This window comes from Homo sapiens, chromosome 2, assembly GCF_000001405.40.
Source record: "Homo sapiens chromosome 2, GRCh38.p14 Primary Assembly".
NCBI lineage: Eukaryota > Metazoa > Chordata > Mammalia > Primates > Hominidae > Homo > Homo sapiens.
In genome coordinates, this window is record NC_000002.12 from 219,236,007 (window position 1) to 219,251,340 (window position 15,334).

Consider the following 15,334-nt stretch of genomic DNA (forward strand, 5'->3'; position numbering starts at 1 on the left):
CAGAGAGCTCTGGCTGCAGAGCGCCGACTCGCTGCCCAGTTGGGAGCCCCTACCTCTCCAATCCCTGACTCTGCAATCGTCAATACTCGGTATGGGGTGCGGGATGAGGGAGTGGGTGGACTGTAATGTTGCAGGGACCATTGGGGGCAAGAGAAATGAGTACCTGCACAGTATTCAGAAGGGTGGTTGAGGGAATTTGGGATGTTCTGGCAGATGCTGCAGTGAAAACAGAAATGGCAGGAGGAGGGACGGGGAGAGCGTGGATTGGAAAGTTTCTGGGGTACCTGTCCAGCCATTTTTCTTCCTCTTGTTCAGACGCTGCTGGAGTTGTGGGGCATCCCTCCAAGGCCTGACTCCCTTTCACTACCTCGACTTCTCTTTCTGCTCCACACGTTGCCTCCAGGATCATCGCCGTCAGGCAGGGAGGCCCTCTTCCTGATCTCTTACAGCTCTACCTGGGGCCAACTCAGGGACCTGAGAGGGCACATTCACAGCAGCCCTAGGTTTTTTCTTCCCCGTGAAACCAGAGATGATTTGGAAGATGGGGGTGAAGGACACTCGGGAACTAGGGCAAAGACAGGGCTAGAGGTATGTGGAGCTGGTACTGTCTCTGGAATTTTAATCACAATAAAGTTTGGCAAGGAATGTGTACTTGTACTTACATTCAGAGGCACTGTGGCCTTTAGTTCCTTAGGGTCACCGTGGCCAGCACCAAGGGATCCTGCCCACTCCATGTCCCAGGTCCAAGGGTTACTTTTTTTTTTTTTTTTTTTTTTGAGATGGAGTGTCTCACTGTCAGCCAGGCTGGAGTGCAGTGGTACAACCTCCACTCACTGCAACCTCTGCCTCCTGGATTCAAGCAATTCTCCTGCCCTCAGCCTCCCAAGTAGCTGGGATTAGAGGTGCCCACCATCACGCCCGGCTAATTTTTGTATTTTTAGTGGAGACGGGGTTTCACCATGTTGGCCAGGCTGGTCTTGAAGTCCTGACCTCAGGTAATCCACCCGTCTCAGCCTCCCAAAGTGCTGGGATTACAGGCATGAGCCACCATGCCCGGCCTACCTTTCAGTGCCCACTTAACTCCATTGGTTCAGAGGCACTCAGTGTATCAGCTGAAAGGGAATTGATATGTGTCCTGTGCAAAGTACTAGTGCTATTGAGGATAGGCTTATCCAAAAATTGGACTTGGGGCTGGAGAGGTACATCTTCTAGTTCCAGCAATGTAATTTTGTTGAGGGCTCCCCTAGGAAACAGCAGGAATCTTGGCACGTAGAGGGTCTGTTGTGGCCCCTGCTTTGTCCAGTACCGGCCCAAGTTAAACCCATTGATCCAGACTTGGCCCTGGGGAATAGGGAGCAGGAAAGAGGGGAAAAGAAAGGGTCAGCTCTCCAGGGGTAGAATCATACCCTTTTGGGTTTCTAATCAGAGGATACTTTCTGCTCCCCTCCTTCTGTGATTTTTCTCTTTTACCTCCCCGCTACCCAAACCACCACCATTACCAATACCTTGGTCCATCCAGGTAGATATAGAAATGTGTCCCCAACTGAGCCTAAAATTGGAAATGTTTTGGAGTAGAATGTGGGGCCAGAAGGAGCTTGAGGATATGGCCATTTTGGCAACTGGAGGGGAAACCACCACTTCACAAGGTTATCAATTTTCAGAGGGAACATCATCCACTGGGTAAGGATTGTTTGCCCCAGAATTGGTGGCTTCAACAGGCCCTATAGGGAAGGAAAATGAAAAGTCATCATTCACTAAGCTTTGAAGCTAAGTTATCCTTAATCAAGCCCTGGGATATAACTAGGCAAAGCTAGCTCACCTTGAAGTCACTGCTGTTAGACCCAAAGCTGAGCCTCCCCATGTTCTCCACCAAGATATCCAGTTTGGACCCCAGTTTCCCCGTCAAAAATAGTTTGTCTCTCATATTTCGCTCCACAACACCCTGGAACACCTGTGGATAGGAGATAGGATAGGAGCAAGGCTCAGCATCTAGCTCTTAGCCACTGCATAGGAAACCACACATTAGGATACTTATTTGGAGGGCAGAGAGAATGTAGCCATCTATCACCCATCTATTCTAGAATTCTATCCTTAATCAAACTCTTCCTCATCCCAGCTTATCCCTGGAACCCTCTGCAAACGTGAACAGGCAGGTGGGAAAGTGTAAATATGGGGAACTTAAGGCTAACGCTTCCTGGGGAAGGGAGGAGTTTGGGGCTCACAGCCTGGAATTAGGTTCTCACCCCATCCACCATCACATAGGCACGGTCATGGACTCCATTATTTGGCACCCAGAATGGTGTTGGCTCAAAAATGGTATGGGTCATATAGGTTCGGTACAACATGAAGCCATGGTCCTGGGTATGGAAGAATGAGTACTTCAGACAAACAGAAATAAAAGAGGACACTGTGACTATAGCCAAGGAACTTTTGCGTATAGCTGTTAAGGGAGGTTGTCATCTCCACCAGATGTGGGTTTATGCCTTACCTGCTTGACAGCCTCAAAGGTCATTGGCAAGATTGAATGAATGGGCCCACGGGGGCAAAGCAAGTCTAGGAAAGCCAGTAAATGCCCAACCTATTAGAATAAGGGAGAAGAATTAGAATATCAGGGAAGTTTCTGGATAGAGGACAAGAAAGAATAGGCTATTTAGAAAAAAAAGGTGTGGTATAAGAGAAAAGATGTGGAGGAACTTACCAGGTGCAGAGTCACAGGTCCAAGCATCATCTTGGGGCTCGGGGGAGGTAAAGGTCCCAAAGGAACTTCCTGGAACTGAGCCCAGATTCTCTCAGGATCCATAGGAAAACCACAGAAAACAATACCTATTCCAAGACTCTAGGGCAGAGTTCCTAACCTGGGGCCCAGGGAAGGGCTTCAGGGATCATGGAGGCTCAATAATTTTGCACACCTGTGTGTCTTCACACATAGTCCCATTTGGTTGAATGGGAAATGCCTCAGTGGGATGCTCAGAAGGCTCTGTGGCCCAGACAATAACCACCAATTTATGGGATACCTTTACAATGTGGGCACTCCCTTCCTCCAAATTAATAAAAGCCTTTGGAGCTTAATGAAATGGTAGGGTACCTTGCTGATGACATCTCGAAGAGCAAAAAGCTTAGGTGTGGGGTCCCCTGCTTCAGATATAGGTGCATCATAGTCATAGCTGGTAGTAATCGGAAGGAAGCGTCCCTTCTTATCGGCACCTGAAGTTGAGCCAATTTAATTAATTCAACATGTATTTCAGATGACAGGCACTACTAAGCATGCTTCATGCAGAGAATTTTGCCATCAGAGGGGGCAGAGGTGGCCATATTCAGCTTCTAGACATCCTAATCCACCTGGCCCTTAGATTCTAATTCCTTGTTACCTCCCTGCTTCTATCCCAGGGACCATCTGGACTCACCATTCCAATATCCAAAGTTGGTACCTCCATGGAACATGTACCTGAAGTGAGAGAGGGTGGGGGAACAGGTAAAAGCTGACTCACTGAATCTTAACTTTCATCCCCAGCTCCCAGCTACAGATTCATATTGCCCCCAGTGTCTTTACTTACATGTTCACACTGGCTCCCAACTTGAGCATGTTCTCTAGTCCTTTGGTTACAGCTGACACAGACCGTGTGGAGTGATTCTGGCCCCAGTAATCCAGCCAGCCTGTGTAGTACTCAGAGTTTACCTAGAGTGTGAAATGAAAGGAGTGTGAGTGAGATGGAACTGAGCTGGACCCATTCCTATCCCTGATTCCCTGACTCCTCTCTGGCCCCTCACCAATGGCCCATGGGGTTCATACTTCCGAAGCAGGGTAAAGATTTTGGTCATGTTGTCAGCTGCGGAAAGGAGGCAAAAGAAAAAGATAAATGTCGTGGAAGAGGTGTCCTTTCCCCAGACTCCACTCCCAGCCCTTGCTTGAGACCTGGGCCAAAATCTACAGTGGTATAGAGTCCCCGGAGGGAGCCACACTTGAGTCCTTCAGGCCCATCTGTGGTGAAGAGCAAGATCTTTTCTCCTAGCAGTGCACGGAAGAGCCCAGCCAAGTGCCTCATGTAGCTGAAGTCACAGGCTCTGTAGCTACCATATTCATTCTCCACCTGCCAGAGGGGAGGGAAAGTGGAACCCAGCTATGGGATGGAGGTCAAGGACCCCTTGTACCTTCTTCCCCTGCTCCAGTCACTTCCCCCTTGTACCTGAATGCTAATGATGTTGCCCCCATTGTGATAAAGCCATGGATATATCTTGGGCAGCAAGACCTTGAACCAGGAGTCCACTGCGGCAAGGAAGTCTAAAGGAAGGAGCAGAGCTTCTGTGTTAGGTGCTACCATCACACTTGCTCACCACTAAATATGGGAAGCAATGACTCTTGTCAAGAAATTCCCAACCCTAAGCACCTTGTATATTTGCACGCCAATGAAATTTGAACATAGGAAACCTTAAAATAGTGTTTCTTAAAAACAAATGGGCCGGGCGTGGCGGCTCACGCCTGTAATCCCAGCACTTTGGGAGGCGGAGGCAGGCAGATCACGAGGTCAAGAGATTGAGACCATCCTGGCCAACATGGTGAAACACTGTCTCTACTAAAAATACAAAAAAATTAGCTGGGCATGGTGGCGGGTGCCTGTAATCCCAGCTACTCAGGAGGCTGAGACAGGAGAATCGCTTGAACCCGGGAGGCAGAGGTTGCAGTGAGCCGAGACTGCACCACTGCACTCCAGCCTGGGCAACAAGAGCAAAACTCCATCTCAAAACAAACAAACAAAAATGGTGGTATATGGGGAGACTAAAATATAGAGGGGATGGCCGGGTGTGGTGGCTCACGCCTGTAATCCCAGCACTTTCTGAGGCCAAGGCAGGGGTGGATGACCTGAGGTCAGGAGTTTGAGACCCTCATGGCCAACATGGCAAAAACCTGTCTCTACTAAAAATACAAAAAATTAGCCGGGCAAGGTGGTAGGTGCCTGCAATCCCAATTACTCGGGAGGCTGAGGCAGGAGAATCACTTGAACCCAATCGGAGGTTGCAGTGAGCCAAGGTCACGTGACTGCACTCCAGCCTGGGCAACAGAGCAAGACTCCGTCTCAAAAAAAAATAACAATTATGCCGGGTGCGGCGGCTCACACCTGTAATCCCAGCACTTTGGGAGGCCAAGGCTGGCAGATCACGAGGTCAGGAGATCGAGACCATCCTGGCTAACACAGTGAAACCCCATCTCTACTAAAAATACAAAAAATAGCCGGGTGTGTTGGTGGGCACCTGTAGTCCCAGCTACTCAGGAGGCTGAGGCAGGAGAATGGCGTGAACCTGGGAGGTGGAGCTTGCAGTGAGCCGAGATTGCGCCACTGCACTCCAGCCTGGGTGATAGAGCGAGACTCCATCTCAAAAATAAAACAAAATAAAAATAATATATATATATGTGTGTGTGTGTGTGTGTGTGTGTGTGTGTATATATATATATATATATATATACATACATATATATGTATGTATAGAGAGAGCGAGAGAGAGACCAGGAAGGCCTCACCAAGGTGACTTCTGCAGGAGGCTTGTGATGAAGGAGCACCACATGCAAAGGCCTCAAAGCCCAAGGCCTGGTGGGTCTGAAGAACAGCAATGAGGCCACTGTGGCTGGAGCAGAGTGAACATGGGGGAGAAGAGCAATAATGTCGAGGAGGTGACTGGGGCCAATTGTGTAGGACCTACCACTTTAAGGAATTTATGGTTCATATTCTGAATGAGATGAGAACCTACTAGAGAGGTTTAAGCAGAGAAATGACAAGATCTGAGATGTATCTTTAAACTTATACTTGAACAGGATCACACTGGCTACTCTACTGAGAACAGATTGTATGGGGGAGAGGGCAAACAAGGGAAACCAGTTAGGAAGCTATAAAATAAGCCAGCTGAGAGAGATGGTTTGGACCAGGGTGGGGGCAATGGGGGTGATAAAAAGCACTTAAATTTAATGTTTGTCAAGATACAGCTGATAGGATTTTCTCTTTTTTGAGACAAAGTCTCTTCAATCTGTCACCCAGGCTGGAGTGTAGTTGTTCAATCTCGGCTCACTGCAACCTCTGACCCCCGGGCCCAAGTGATTCTCCTGCATCAGCCTCCCAAGTAGCTGGGATTACAGGTGCCCACCACCTCGCCCAGCCAATTTTTTGTATTTTTAGTAGAGATGGGATTTTGCCATGTTGGCCAGGTGGGTCTCAAACTCCTGACCTCAGGTCATGCACCCGCCTGGGCCTCTGAAAGTGCTGGGATCACAGGCATGAGCCACCGCGCCCAGCTGTTTTTTTTTTTTTTAATCAGTTTCTTCCACTATATTATAAGCTTTACGGCACAAGGATGGGGGTCTGTCTGGTCCCCCAGTTTCTAGCATCCTGCTGGGCATGAAGGAAACACTTGGTAAATGAATGATGACCTCCAATTTGGGAATGGTCTCTTCTGCTTTTGGCACCCAAATAGCCCATTTTACTTACTTGCTTCTGTGTTAAATCCTTTGTCTCAACTCACCTGGATCTGAGGTTCTTAGATGAATTTCAGGTTTTCGAAGCAACCAGGATGGGAGACCCCCCTGAGACAAACATAAAGAGAACAAAGAAGCATGTAGGTTTTGTTTTGGGGTGTGGTGGGGAAGCTAGGAAGGGAAGGAAGGAAGGGAAGGAATTGAATATAGTGCTGGAGATGGCCCTAGAGTGTGGGCAGATGGGAGTAGTCTAGGAACTGCACAAGGATAACTGGTTCTATCCCTTCTCCAGCTAACTCACCATCTCCCACTCTGCACAGATGTAAGGTCCTGGTCTCAGTATGACCAACAGGTTCGCTAGAGCTGCCTCATTCAGAAAGGCAATGAGGTCCCGGCTGCCATTAAAGTTATAGACCCCAGGCTGTGGCTCGTGGTAGTTCCAGGGCACATAACTGAGAAAGGAAGAGGTTAATAGGAACCAAGGTGAAGAGACGCCAGGGAGGCCTAACGGCTCAGGCCTTGCAGGGAATCTCCAGGAAGCGGTTGGAAGGAGGTCCTGGCCTGCCCTTTCCCACCCTTGGCCTAGGAGTCCTGGCAGTCTTCCTGTCCCGACCTTCTTTATAAGGGGGCGGTAGAAAAAGTAGATCCCATCCCTCCGCGGCTCTTGCGAGCACTTCTTACAACTGTATGGCGTTGAGGCCGCTCCATCGCATCTTCAAAAGCCGGTCGGCCCAAAGCACCCGCGGTACCCGAAAGTAGTGCAGGCTGCCAGACACATAGCGGAACGGGGCCCCGTCTAGGAGAAACCGGTCATGACCCCTATCCACTACGAACGACCGAGTGTCTGCCTATAAAGAGAAAGAGACGCTGCTCAGCAGACGCCTGGAGGGAGCGTCGAGGGTCAGCGCCTGCCAAGAGCGGAAGAGATGGAACTAGCCCTGCGGGTTGTTTGGTTGTTACTTTGGACTTTCTCTCATCCGCTGGATCTGATCCCGCTCACCGCACCCGGCAGGCTGGTTCACCGTCTCATCTTACCTGGGGCAGCAGTAGCGTCAGGCTGAGCGGCAGCAGCAGGGAACGAAGGCAGGACAGCTTCTTGGGAGCCATGGCGTTTACAGCGCTCCTCTAGTCTGAGACGGCGGACAGACCGTCACGTGTCGGATTCCTGGGAGGGAACCTCAGCGAGCAAGGGGGCGGAAACCACCTCAAGTTGCCAGGCGTTTAGCCTGGACTTCCTCTCCAGCCTGCAGCCACCCCCTTACTCTACTAGTTTGTAAAATTTCTACATCATGTTAAAGTGCAGTTCACGAACCAGCTTCATCGACATCACCTGGGAACTTGTTAGAAATGGAGAATCTGGCTGGGCACGATGGCTCACGCCTGTAATCCCAACACTTTGGGAGGCCGAGGCGGGTGGATCACTTGAGGTCAGGAGTTCAAGACCAGCTTGGCCAACAGGGCAAAACCCTGTCTCTACTAAAAATACAAAAATTAGCCGGGCCTGGTGGCACGCGCCTGTATTCCAAGCTACTCCGAGGGTGGGGGTGGGGGTGGGGGTGGGGGTGGGGGTAGGGGCTGAGGCAGGAGAATTGCTTGAACCCGGAAGGCGGAGGTTGCAGTGAACCGAGATCCTGCCACTGCACTCCAGCCTGGGCAACAGAGCGAGACTCTGTCTCAAAAAACACAAACAAACAAACAAAAGAAATGTAAAATCTCAGATCCTACCTCAGACCTATAGAATCAGAATTTGTATTTTAACAAGATTCCCAGGTGATCCTAGGCACCTTCAAAATTGAGAAGCATGGCTTTACTTGACTGGGCTCCCTGAGGACAGGGAGTGCCCTGTTCATCTCAAATCCTCAGCCTCTAGCACAGGGCCGGGTATATAGTAGGTTAAATCTGGATGAATCAATGTCATAACCAAAAGGCTAAAACAGGTTCAGAACCAGGGGAAACCATTGGAAAATCTTCAGGGTGATCCGGGGTGTGGAAGGGAGGAACCAGGTCACAAGAAGGACCTCTTTCCTGGAGAGTCCTGTTTCAGCAAAACAGCCATTCCCTCCTGGCCATTCCACCTTCTTTGGAAGTGCACCCCTCTCCAGCTTACCCCTGCCTGCCTCCGCAACAGATATTAAGGACAACTGCTTTGTGCCAAAGCTCGAAAATCTGTGAATTTCCGTTCCTTTTGCCTTTACAGTCTCAAGAATGGGATGTGAAGATCAGGGTAATAATAATTACGGTTTATTGACACGTACTGAAGGCTATGTGTCAGATATTGTATTAAACACTGTACATCTCATTTAATCTTCAACTCCATGAGGTAGATAATTATTTCCATTTTACAGAGGAGGAGAGGAAAGGACAGAAACATTAAGTAGCCTGTCCAAGGTCACACAACTACGTTAACGGAGCTGTCATTTGAACTAGTCAGTCTGGCCTCACAGTTAAGCTACTTAACCTTATGTACTATTATACCTATTTTACAGCTACCAAAAGTAAGGATCCGAGAGGTTAAGTAACTTGCCCGAGGTTACACAGCTAGCATGCTATTAACACTCAATTTAGAAACTGGAAGTCTGGTTCACAAGCCTGAGCTCTTAACCACTGAGACTAGGGGTAGTGGGATACAGGCCAGAGCCCAGAAGGTTGTACGGGATCAGGAGACCAGGCCACCAGACCCGCCCCTCACTGGATCCCCCTCCAGGCTGCAGTGTAGTTGGCCGCTTTCTGCCCCAGAGCGCCAGAGGTATGAAGCCTCCTACCTCCAACATTGGGAGATGGAGGTCCTGGGGGCCTCGGGCCGAGCCCGGCTTTGCTCCCCTTTGGCGTAGGTGCCTGCGTCTTGACCCCCACCGAAGGCCAAGTAGAGAACCCTCACCAGGGTCCTGGGACCCGTCCACCCCTACACCTAGCTAGCCCGGAGCCTCTCAGCTCCGCGTCCCCACATCCTCCGGATGCCCAGCGGTTGCTGAGATACCGCGGGCCGTTACGCCGGCGCGGACTGATGATGTCAGCACTGCTTCCGGTCGGTGGCGCTTCTCTCTGGCCCGAGCCAGGTCAGTCCGGCAGTGCAGATGGCCCATCCCGGGCTCTGGGCTCCTAGACCGGGGTGGGCCCTGCCAGGAGTGGGCCTGAGCCTCGCACGTCCTCTGAAACTACGCTATGCTCTGCTTTTGCGGCGCGATGGGCGTGGGAGCGGGGGCTGCCCAAAGATGGGCTGGGGTTGGAGGAAGTGGCCCGGTAGCCGCTGTGTGTCCTGAGGCCGTAAGGCGCCTGACCCCACCCCTGAAGCTGGCGACGGAGCAGGGCCTGTTTTCTCTACACTATAGTGTAGGTTCCAGAGACCTGGGCCTGAGCTCTCCGCATTGGTACTTCATGGGTCGTCTGGATTGTGCCGGACCTGTGACCCTGCCGTTGTTTTCTTTCCAGCATGATCCGCTGGGCCCCCAGCGCATCTCCTGGAAGAGCCCACTCACCCTGGACGAGCTCTTCGGTAGCCTCAGACCGTCCTTGAAGAGGATGACTGAGACATTATGGGCCACGCGCTGTGTGTCTGCTCTCGGGGAACTGTCATCATTGACAATAAGCGCTACCTCTTCATCCAGAAACTGGGGGAGGGGTGAGTGTTTGGAAGTCAGTTAACTAGTCCTCAAGTTTATGATCATTGAAGGACAGCGGTGTGCATATGCTTGGGGCACAAGGGTTTTATCCCTATCCCTGTCCTCTCTCACCTGACAGAACCTAGCTACACAGTATCAAGAAGGTGGATTCTGGAGCCAGGCCTGCTAAATCCACCTCGTGTGACCTTGATAAACCATGTTTTTTTCATCAGCTTAATGGAGATGATTATTATCCCTCACTGATGGAGTTGTGAGGATTAAATGAGATAATGTGTATAAAATGTCTCACCCAATGCGGGGTTGACAAGTACTTGATAAGTGTTGGCTATTATTTATTTAGCATCTGTCAAGTGCAGAGGTCTCTATTACGACCATAGGACCTCAAAGATTTCTATATCTCTGCTCCTGAGGAGCTCACGGTGTAATATTCTTCAGATTTCTCTTAGAGCCACATCTTGGGAAGGTTTCTGCTAAATGGGAAGGACACCCCACTCCCCACCAGGAAATTTCTCTAGGTCCAAGCCATGTGGGAGATGACCATGGCCCTTTATTGACCCCTTTGGCCCACAGTGGGTTCAGCTATGTGGACCTAGTGGAAGGGTTACATGATGGACACTTCTACGCCCTGAAGCGAATCCTGTGTCACGAGCAGCAGGACCGGGAGGAGGCCCAGCGAGAAGCCGACATGCATCGCCTCTTCAATCACCCCAACATCCTTCGCCTCGTGGCTTACTGTCTGAGGGAACGGGGTGCTAAGCATGAGGCCTGGCTGCTGCTACCATTCTTCAAGGTCAGAAAGACTCCTGGTTATGGAGGGGGTTGCAGCAGAGCCACCTACTCAAGGGCTGTGTGAGCAGTCCAGCATGTTAGGAAGCAGGGACCATGTCCTGGGTTTGGCCACTTTAGATTTTGAGTTTGAGGTGTGTATCATGAAAGGGCTGATAGGCTTTGACATAGGGAAGGGATCAGGCCTAAGGAGCAGAGGCTCCAAAAACATCTCCAACTGTAGGGAAACTTGTGTTGCAGAGAGGTACGCTGTGGAATGAGATAGAAAGGCTGAAGGACAAAGGCAACTTCCTGACCGAGGATCAAATCCTTTGGCTGCTGCTGGGGATCTGCAGAGGCCTTGAGGCCATTCATGCCAAGGGTTATGCCCACAGGTCAGTGGGAGGACCCTGTGTGCTTGCTGGGGCCCAGAGGAAGAGCCTCACCAGGAGACATGGGAGGTCTCTGTTCTCCCAAGAAACAGCCTGTATGATTCTTTTGCTTGCTGGGATTCCAGCCTTCCTGTCCAGAGATGCTCATAGGTCACTTCTACTTCTCTACAGAGACTTGAAGCCCACCAATATATTGCTTGGAGATGAGGGGCAGCCAGTTTTAATGGACTTGGGTTCCATGAATCAAGCATGCATCCATGTGGAGGGCTCCCGCCAGGCTCTGACCCTGCAGGTAAAAGAGTCTCCAGGTTCCTTTTCTCACCTGTTCCCCATTCCCACCCCTTCTGGTGCATGTCCCAGTTTGGTCACATGACCATGACCTGTGCCCCACTTTTGAGCTCTGGGATCACTGTTCCAGGACTGGGCAGCCCAGCGGTGCACCATCTCCTACCGAGCCCCAGAGCTCTTCTCTGTGCAGAGTCACTGTGTCATCGATGAGCGGACTGATGTCTGGGTGAGGAGCATGTGGGTGGGTATCTGGGTAGGGAGGGCTGTGGCTCTGTACCCACCGTGGAGTAGAGTAGGTTGTTGGTTTCTGTTGCATGGGGCGCCAGGAACCACAATATGTCCCCATCCACTTCAACTTCCTTCCTGGGAAATGTCACTGATACTGTACCCAGTTGTACCGGATGTGGTATAATCTGTGCCCCTGAACAAGGTGAGTACAGCTCAGTGTCAGTAGTGAAGGCACTGGCTAAGCAGGGGCTAAGCTAAACAGGGGCTGCGGAGGCCTCCAGCTGACTGGCAGTTTCTCTGGACCCTGGTGGTGCCATGTGGCTGAGGTCAGCGTATTCTTTTTAGCTTATGGAGTCTCCTTTTACCACAGAAGTAAAGGGAGAGATGTCACCTCCACTGGTCCCCTTCTAGGGACTAATCAAGTTATGCTCAGTCCCTAGGCTGCGTGCTATATGCCATGATGTTTGGGGAAGGCCCTTATGACATGGTGTTCCAAAAGGGTGACAGTGTGGCCCTTGCTGTGCAGAACCAACTCAGCATCCCACAAAGCCCCAGGTGAGTGAGCAACGAATAGGGCATCAAGTGTTTCAGACTCCCCCCTGGTATTAGCTGAGTTGACAGATAGGTGTCATCCGGTCACCCTGGGCTCCTCCCTCCACAGGCATTCTTCAGCATTGCGGCAGCTCCTGAACTCGATGATGACCGTGGACCCGCATCAGCGTCCTCACATTCCTCTCCTCCTCAGTCAGCTGGAGGCGCTTCAGCCCCCAGCTCCTGGCCAACATACTACCCAAATCTGAAAAAGCAGCATGTTGAGAAGATGGCCCCTTGTGCCTTGGAAAGAGGTTCCCATCCCTCATTGGAATCACCACCCATTCCATCCAGGACTTCTCTTACACTTGGGGGTAGCGGGGTCAGGACAATCATCTCAGTCCTGCATCTTTTCTTCTGCTTTCTTCCCTCCAAGAGCAAAACCTGGGCAAGGGGACTTACTGAGTGGGGGTGGGTGGGGGTTGGGAAAAGGGAAACTGGTGGGATATGGAACATGGCTCTGAGCAGGACTGTTGAGCTCACATAGTGTTCTGACTCCAAATCTGGGAGCAGGAGAATGTGTAAACAAGAATAAAGTGGAAGCAGGTTGGTGTAGATCTTAGTCTCAGTGTTCCTGGAGTGAGAGAAGAGGTGCAAGGGGCCCAAAGTCAGGTTGCCATTTCAGGCGAACTGCCTGGGAAGGAGGAATGGTGCAGAGTCGGCAATGGTGTGACTTCATTCTACAGGAGGTTGGTTAGCAGTGGACAGTTCTAGCTTGTCTTAGATCAAAACTTAAAGCTGCTTGGGCTCAAGCTGGCATCTGCCTGTGTCAAGAACTAGGGCCCCCTAAAAACACTCAACTAGTTCTTTCCTTCCTTCACTCCTGGGGTGAGTAGCTTAGTCAAAGCTGCCTAGCCGGTTTGCTAGGCAAGGGCCTCTGGGTGGAGACACCTGAGGAAGCTTTGAGACAGGTAGATTACAGGTCTCCCATCCTCAGCCTAGGGGCGAGGGGAGTGGAGGTGGCAGCGGCAGCTGTTTTGGCCTGTGTCTCCCTGATCGTTCAAGCTCATACATGGTTAATGATTAATGAGGCAGTGTGGTGTGGCAGTATCCAGCTGCCACTTCCTGCCTACTCTGCTGAGTAAACAGGGGCCCTGTCTTAGCTGGGCTTCAAACCTGTTCCCTAGGGAAGGGCTCTGTTCCCTGAATCACCAGGGAGGAAAGGCAAGGGCAGGGTTGGCATCTCCTGCTCTTTTGTGATCCAAGCCTCCTCCCCCGAACCATGTCTACCCCACAGTATGACATCAGCATGGGGCCTGGGGCTCCTGTTAGCAAAGTTGAAGCTTTCCCCAGGGCCCTAGCAGGAGTCTCCCACTAGCTAGCACAGAGGCTGAGGCCAGAAAGAAATCACAAACAGAGGGGAGATGACCTGACTTTTAATGGCACAGCCCCAGCTCCAGCAAAGCAGCAAGACAGGAAGCTATGCAAAGCTGCTCAGAGGTGCAGTGGCACAAACAACTCTAGGAGATCGCCTGTGTTCCCTCCCATCCCCCAAGCTTATGACGTGGCTCCATGCCCAGGAACTCTGGGCCAGCCCAGCCCCACTCCCAAACCCTCATAATGCACAGAGGAGCCTGGGCCAAGCCTTGCTTCCAGAGTTGGTAAATGTAGAGGCAGCAGGAAGAACAGGGTAGCAGTCTAACTTTCAAAGACAGAAACCACTGGATTATACTCCTACTTGGAAAGGAGCTGAAGACTCATCCTTCAACAGTTTGTGCCTGGATTTTGGTCCTCATTTCCTCCCTATACTGAGTAACCCTAGGACTTCAATTTAAAGTCCCTGGGGTTATGCTTCCTGGGCCTGGCAAGAACCCCTTTGCAGGTCTCACCTTCAGCGATGGAAGGGATAAGGGTCATGAACAGCAAACAGAGCAGCAGCAGCATGAAGGGGAAGGCAGCAGAAGCTCAAGCACTCAGAGGGAACAAGAAACCGTGCAAGGAAACTGTTTATTTCGAAAGGATTTTGCAATAAACATAGTGAATAGGCTCCAGGCAGCTGCTTTATTCTTCTCCCTCATCCTCGTCCTCATAGGAGTCGATGCCCACCTCCTCATAATCCTTCTCCAGGGCAGCCATATCCTCACGGGCCTCGGAGAACTCACCCTCCTCCATGCCCTCACCCACATACCAGTGCACAAACGCCCTCTTGGCATACATCAGGTCGAACTTGTGGTCCAGGCGGGCCCAGGCCTCGGCGATGGCGGTCGTGTTGCTCAGCATGCACACGGCACGCTGCACCTTGGCCAGGTCACCCCCAGGCACCACAGTGGGAGGCTGGTAGTTGATACCAACCTTGAAGCCTGTGGGGCACCAGTCCACAAACTGAATGCTGCGCTTGGTCTTGATGGCGGCAATGGCAGCGTTGACATCCTTGGGCACCACATCTCCACGGTACAGCAGGCAGCAGGCCATGTACTTGCCGTGCCGGGGATCACACTTTACCATCTGGTTGGCAGGCTCAAAGCAGGCATTGGTGATCTCTGCCACCGACAGCTGCTCGTGGTATGCCTTTTCTGCAGAGATGACTGGTGCATAGGTGGCCAGGGGGAAGTGGATGCGAGGGTAGGGCACCAGGTTGGTCTGGAACTCTGTCAGGTCCACATTGAGGGCCCCGTCAAAGCGCAGAGAAGCTGTGATGGAGGAGACAATTTGGCTAATGAGGCGATTGAGGTTGGTGTAGGTTGGGCGCTCGATGTCTAGGTTGCGGCGGCAGATGTCATAGATTGCTTCGTTGTCCACCATGAAGGCACAGTCTGAGTGCTCCAGGGTGGTGTGGGTGGTCAGGATAGAGTTGTAGGGCTCGACCACGGCTGTAGACACCTGGGGGGCTGGGTAGATGGAGAATTCCAGCTTGGATTTCTTGCCATAGTCAACAGAGAGCCGCTCCATCAGGAGTGAGGTGAAGCCAGAGCCAGTGCCCCCACCAAAGCTGTGGAACACCAGGAAGCCCTGAAGTCCTGTGCACTGGTCAGACTGAAAGGCAAGAACGA

General features: G+C 51.4%; 4 protein-coding genes across 24 annotated transcripts in view, besides 4 other annotated features; 2 read left to right on the forward strand and 2 right to left on the reverse strand.

Annotated features, from left to right (window-relative positions):
- ANKZF1 (ankyrin repeat and zinc finger peptidyl tRNA hydrolase 1) overlaps positions 1-673 on the forward strand; it is a 6,874-nt gene extending 6,201 nt beyond the window's left edge. For all 5 annotated transcript variants that reach the window (NM_001042410.2, NM_018089.3, XM_011511392.4 and 2 more), the window contains 2 exons: positions 4-89; positions 316-673. In NM_001042410.2, the coding sequence (NP_001035869.1) occupies positions 4-89; positions 316-439 (210 nt within the window). In that variant the 3' untranslated portion in view covers positions 440-673. The remainder of the gene's footprint in view (positions 1-3; positions 90-315) is intronic.
- GLB1L (galactosidase beta 1 like) lies at positions 592-9,438 on the reverse strand. Of its 9 annotated transcripts, XM_047445814.1 has the most exons (18): positions 9,223-9,438; positions 7,773-7,936; positions 7,496-7,625; positions 7,142-7,308; positions 6,762-6,912; positions 6,508-6,568; positions 4,185-4,279; positions 3,914-4,088; positions 3,769-3,827; positions 3,555-3,676; positions 3,405-3,445; positions 3,086-3,204; positions 2,699-2,773; positions 2,489-2,578; positions 2,244-2,357; positions 1,820-1,951; positions 1,506-1,721; positions 592-1,341 (listed from the first exon to the last, which is right to left on the reverse strand). In XM_047445814.1, exons 3-18 carry the CDS (start codon positions 7,565-7,567, stop codon positions 1,066-1,068), a joined length of 1,965 nt encoding a protein of 654 aa, XP_047301770.1. In that variant the 5' UTR covers positions 7,568-7,625; positions 7,773-7,936; positions 9,223-9,438; the 3' UTR covers positions 592-1,065. The 9 variants fall into 9 exon arrangements, with proteins under 9 accessions (XP_047301770.1, NP_078782.3, NP_001273352.1 ...); NM_024506.5 differs by lacking the exon at positions 7,773-7,936; NM_001286423.2 differs by lacking the exon at positions 7,773-7,936 and having other exon boundaries at positions 7,496-7,637.
- Positions 9,154-9,736: an enhancer, noted in NCBI's record as "H3K27ac hESC enhancer chr2:220109882-220110464 (GRCh37/hg19 assembly coordinates)". NCBI's record gives its function as "activates a minimal SCP1, AML or CMV promoter by ChIP-STARR-seq in naive H9 embryonic stem cells {active_cell/tissue: H9 hESC(naive)}" and the evidence as "EXISTENCE:reporter gene assay evidence [ECO:0000049][PMID:30033119]".
- Positions 9,185-9,614: an enhancer, noted in NCBI's record as "active region_17143". NCBI's record gives its function as "activates an Ori minimal core promoter by ATAC-STARR-seq in GM12878 lymphoblastoid cells {active_cell/tissue: GM12878}" and the evidence as "EXISTENCE:reporter gene assay evidence [ECO:0000049][PMID:35858748]".
- STK16 (serine/threonine kinase 16) lies at positions 9,473-14,331 on the forward strand. 7 transcript variants are annotated; one of them, NM_001330213.2, is made up of 8 exons: positions 9,473-9,790; positions 9,890-10,079; positions 10,651-10,870; positions 11,107-11,240; positions 11,409-11,529; positions 11,656-11,751; positions 12,187-12,308; positions 12,415-14,331. In NM_001330213.2, exons 2-8 carry the CDS (start codon positions 9,994-9,996, stop codon positions 12,551-12,553), a joined length of 918 nt encoding a protein of 305 aa, NP_001317142.1. In that variant the 5' UTR covers positions 9,473-9,790; positions 9,890-9,993; the 3' UTR covers positions 12,554-14,331.
- The window catches only part of TUBA4A (tubulin alpha 4a), a 5,031-nt gene continuing 3,400 nt past the window's right edge, over positions 13,704-15,334 (reverse strand). For all 3 annotated transcript variants that reach the window (XM_047445674.1, NM_001278552.2, NM_006000.3), the window contains exon 4: positions 13,704-15,317. In XM_047445674.1, the coding sequence (XP_047301630.1) occupies positions 14,346-15,317 (972 nt within the window). In that variant the 3' untranslated portion in view covers positions 13,704-14,345. The remainder of the gene's footprint in view (positions 15,318-15,334) is intronic.
- Positions 13,977-14,066: an enhancer, noted in NCBI's record as "active region_17144". NCBI's record gives its function as "activates an Ori minimal core promoter by ATAC-STARR-seq in GM12878 lymphoblastoid cells {active_cell/tissue: GM12878}" and the evidence as "EXISTENCE:reporter gene assay evidence [ECO:0000049][PMID:35858748]".
- Positions 14,107-14,226: an enhancer, noted in NCBI's record as "active region_17145". NCBI's record gives its function as "activates an Ori minimal core promoter by ATAC-STARR-seq in GM12878 lymphoblastoid cells {active_cell/tissue: GM12878}" and the evidence as "EXISTENCE:reporter gene assay evidence [ECO:0000049][PMID:35858748]".

What these genes read in the sequence shown, in the direction of transcription:
- GLB1L (NM_024506.5), bottom strand. Translation starts at nt 7,567, where the DNA reads ATGGCTCCCAAGAAGCTGTCCTGCCTTCGTTCCCTGCTGCTGCCGCTC. An exon ending in TCTGTGCAGAGTGGGAGATG is followed by an intron (nt 6,569 to 6,761) that starts GTGAGTTAGCTG and finishes TGTTTGTCTCAG; the next exon opens with GGGGGTCTCCCATCCTGGTT. An exon ending in CCTATGTGATGGTGGATGGG is followed by an intron (nt 1,952 to 2,243) that starts GTGAGAACCTAA and finishes TCCTATCCACAG; the next exon opens with GTGTTCCAGGGTGTTGTGGA.
- STK16 (NM_001330213.2), top strand. Translation starts at nt 9,994, where the DNA reads ATGGGCCACGCGCTGTGTGTCTGCTCTCGGGGAACTGTCATCATTGAC. An exon ending in ATCCAGAAACTGGGGGAGGG is followed by an intron (nt 10,080 to 10,650) that starts GTGAGTGTTTGG and finishes TTTGGCCCACAG; the next exon opens with TGGGTTCAGCTATGTGGACC. An exon ending in GCCAAGGGTTATGCCCACAG is followed by an intron (nt 11,241 to 11,408) that starts GTCAGTGGGAGG and finishes ACTTCTCTACAG; the next exon opens with AGACTTGAAGCCCACCAATA.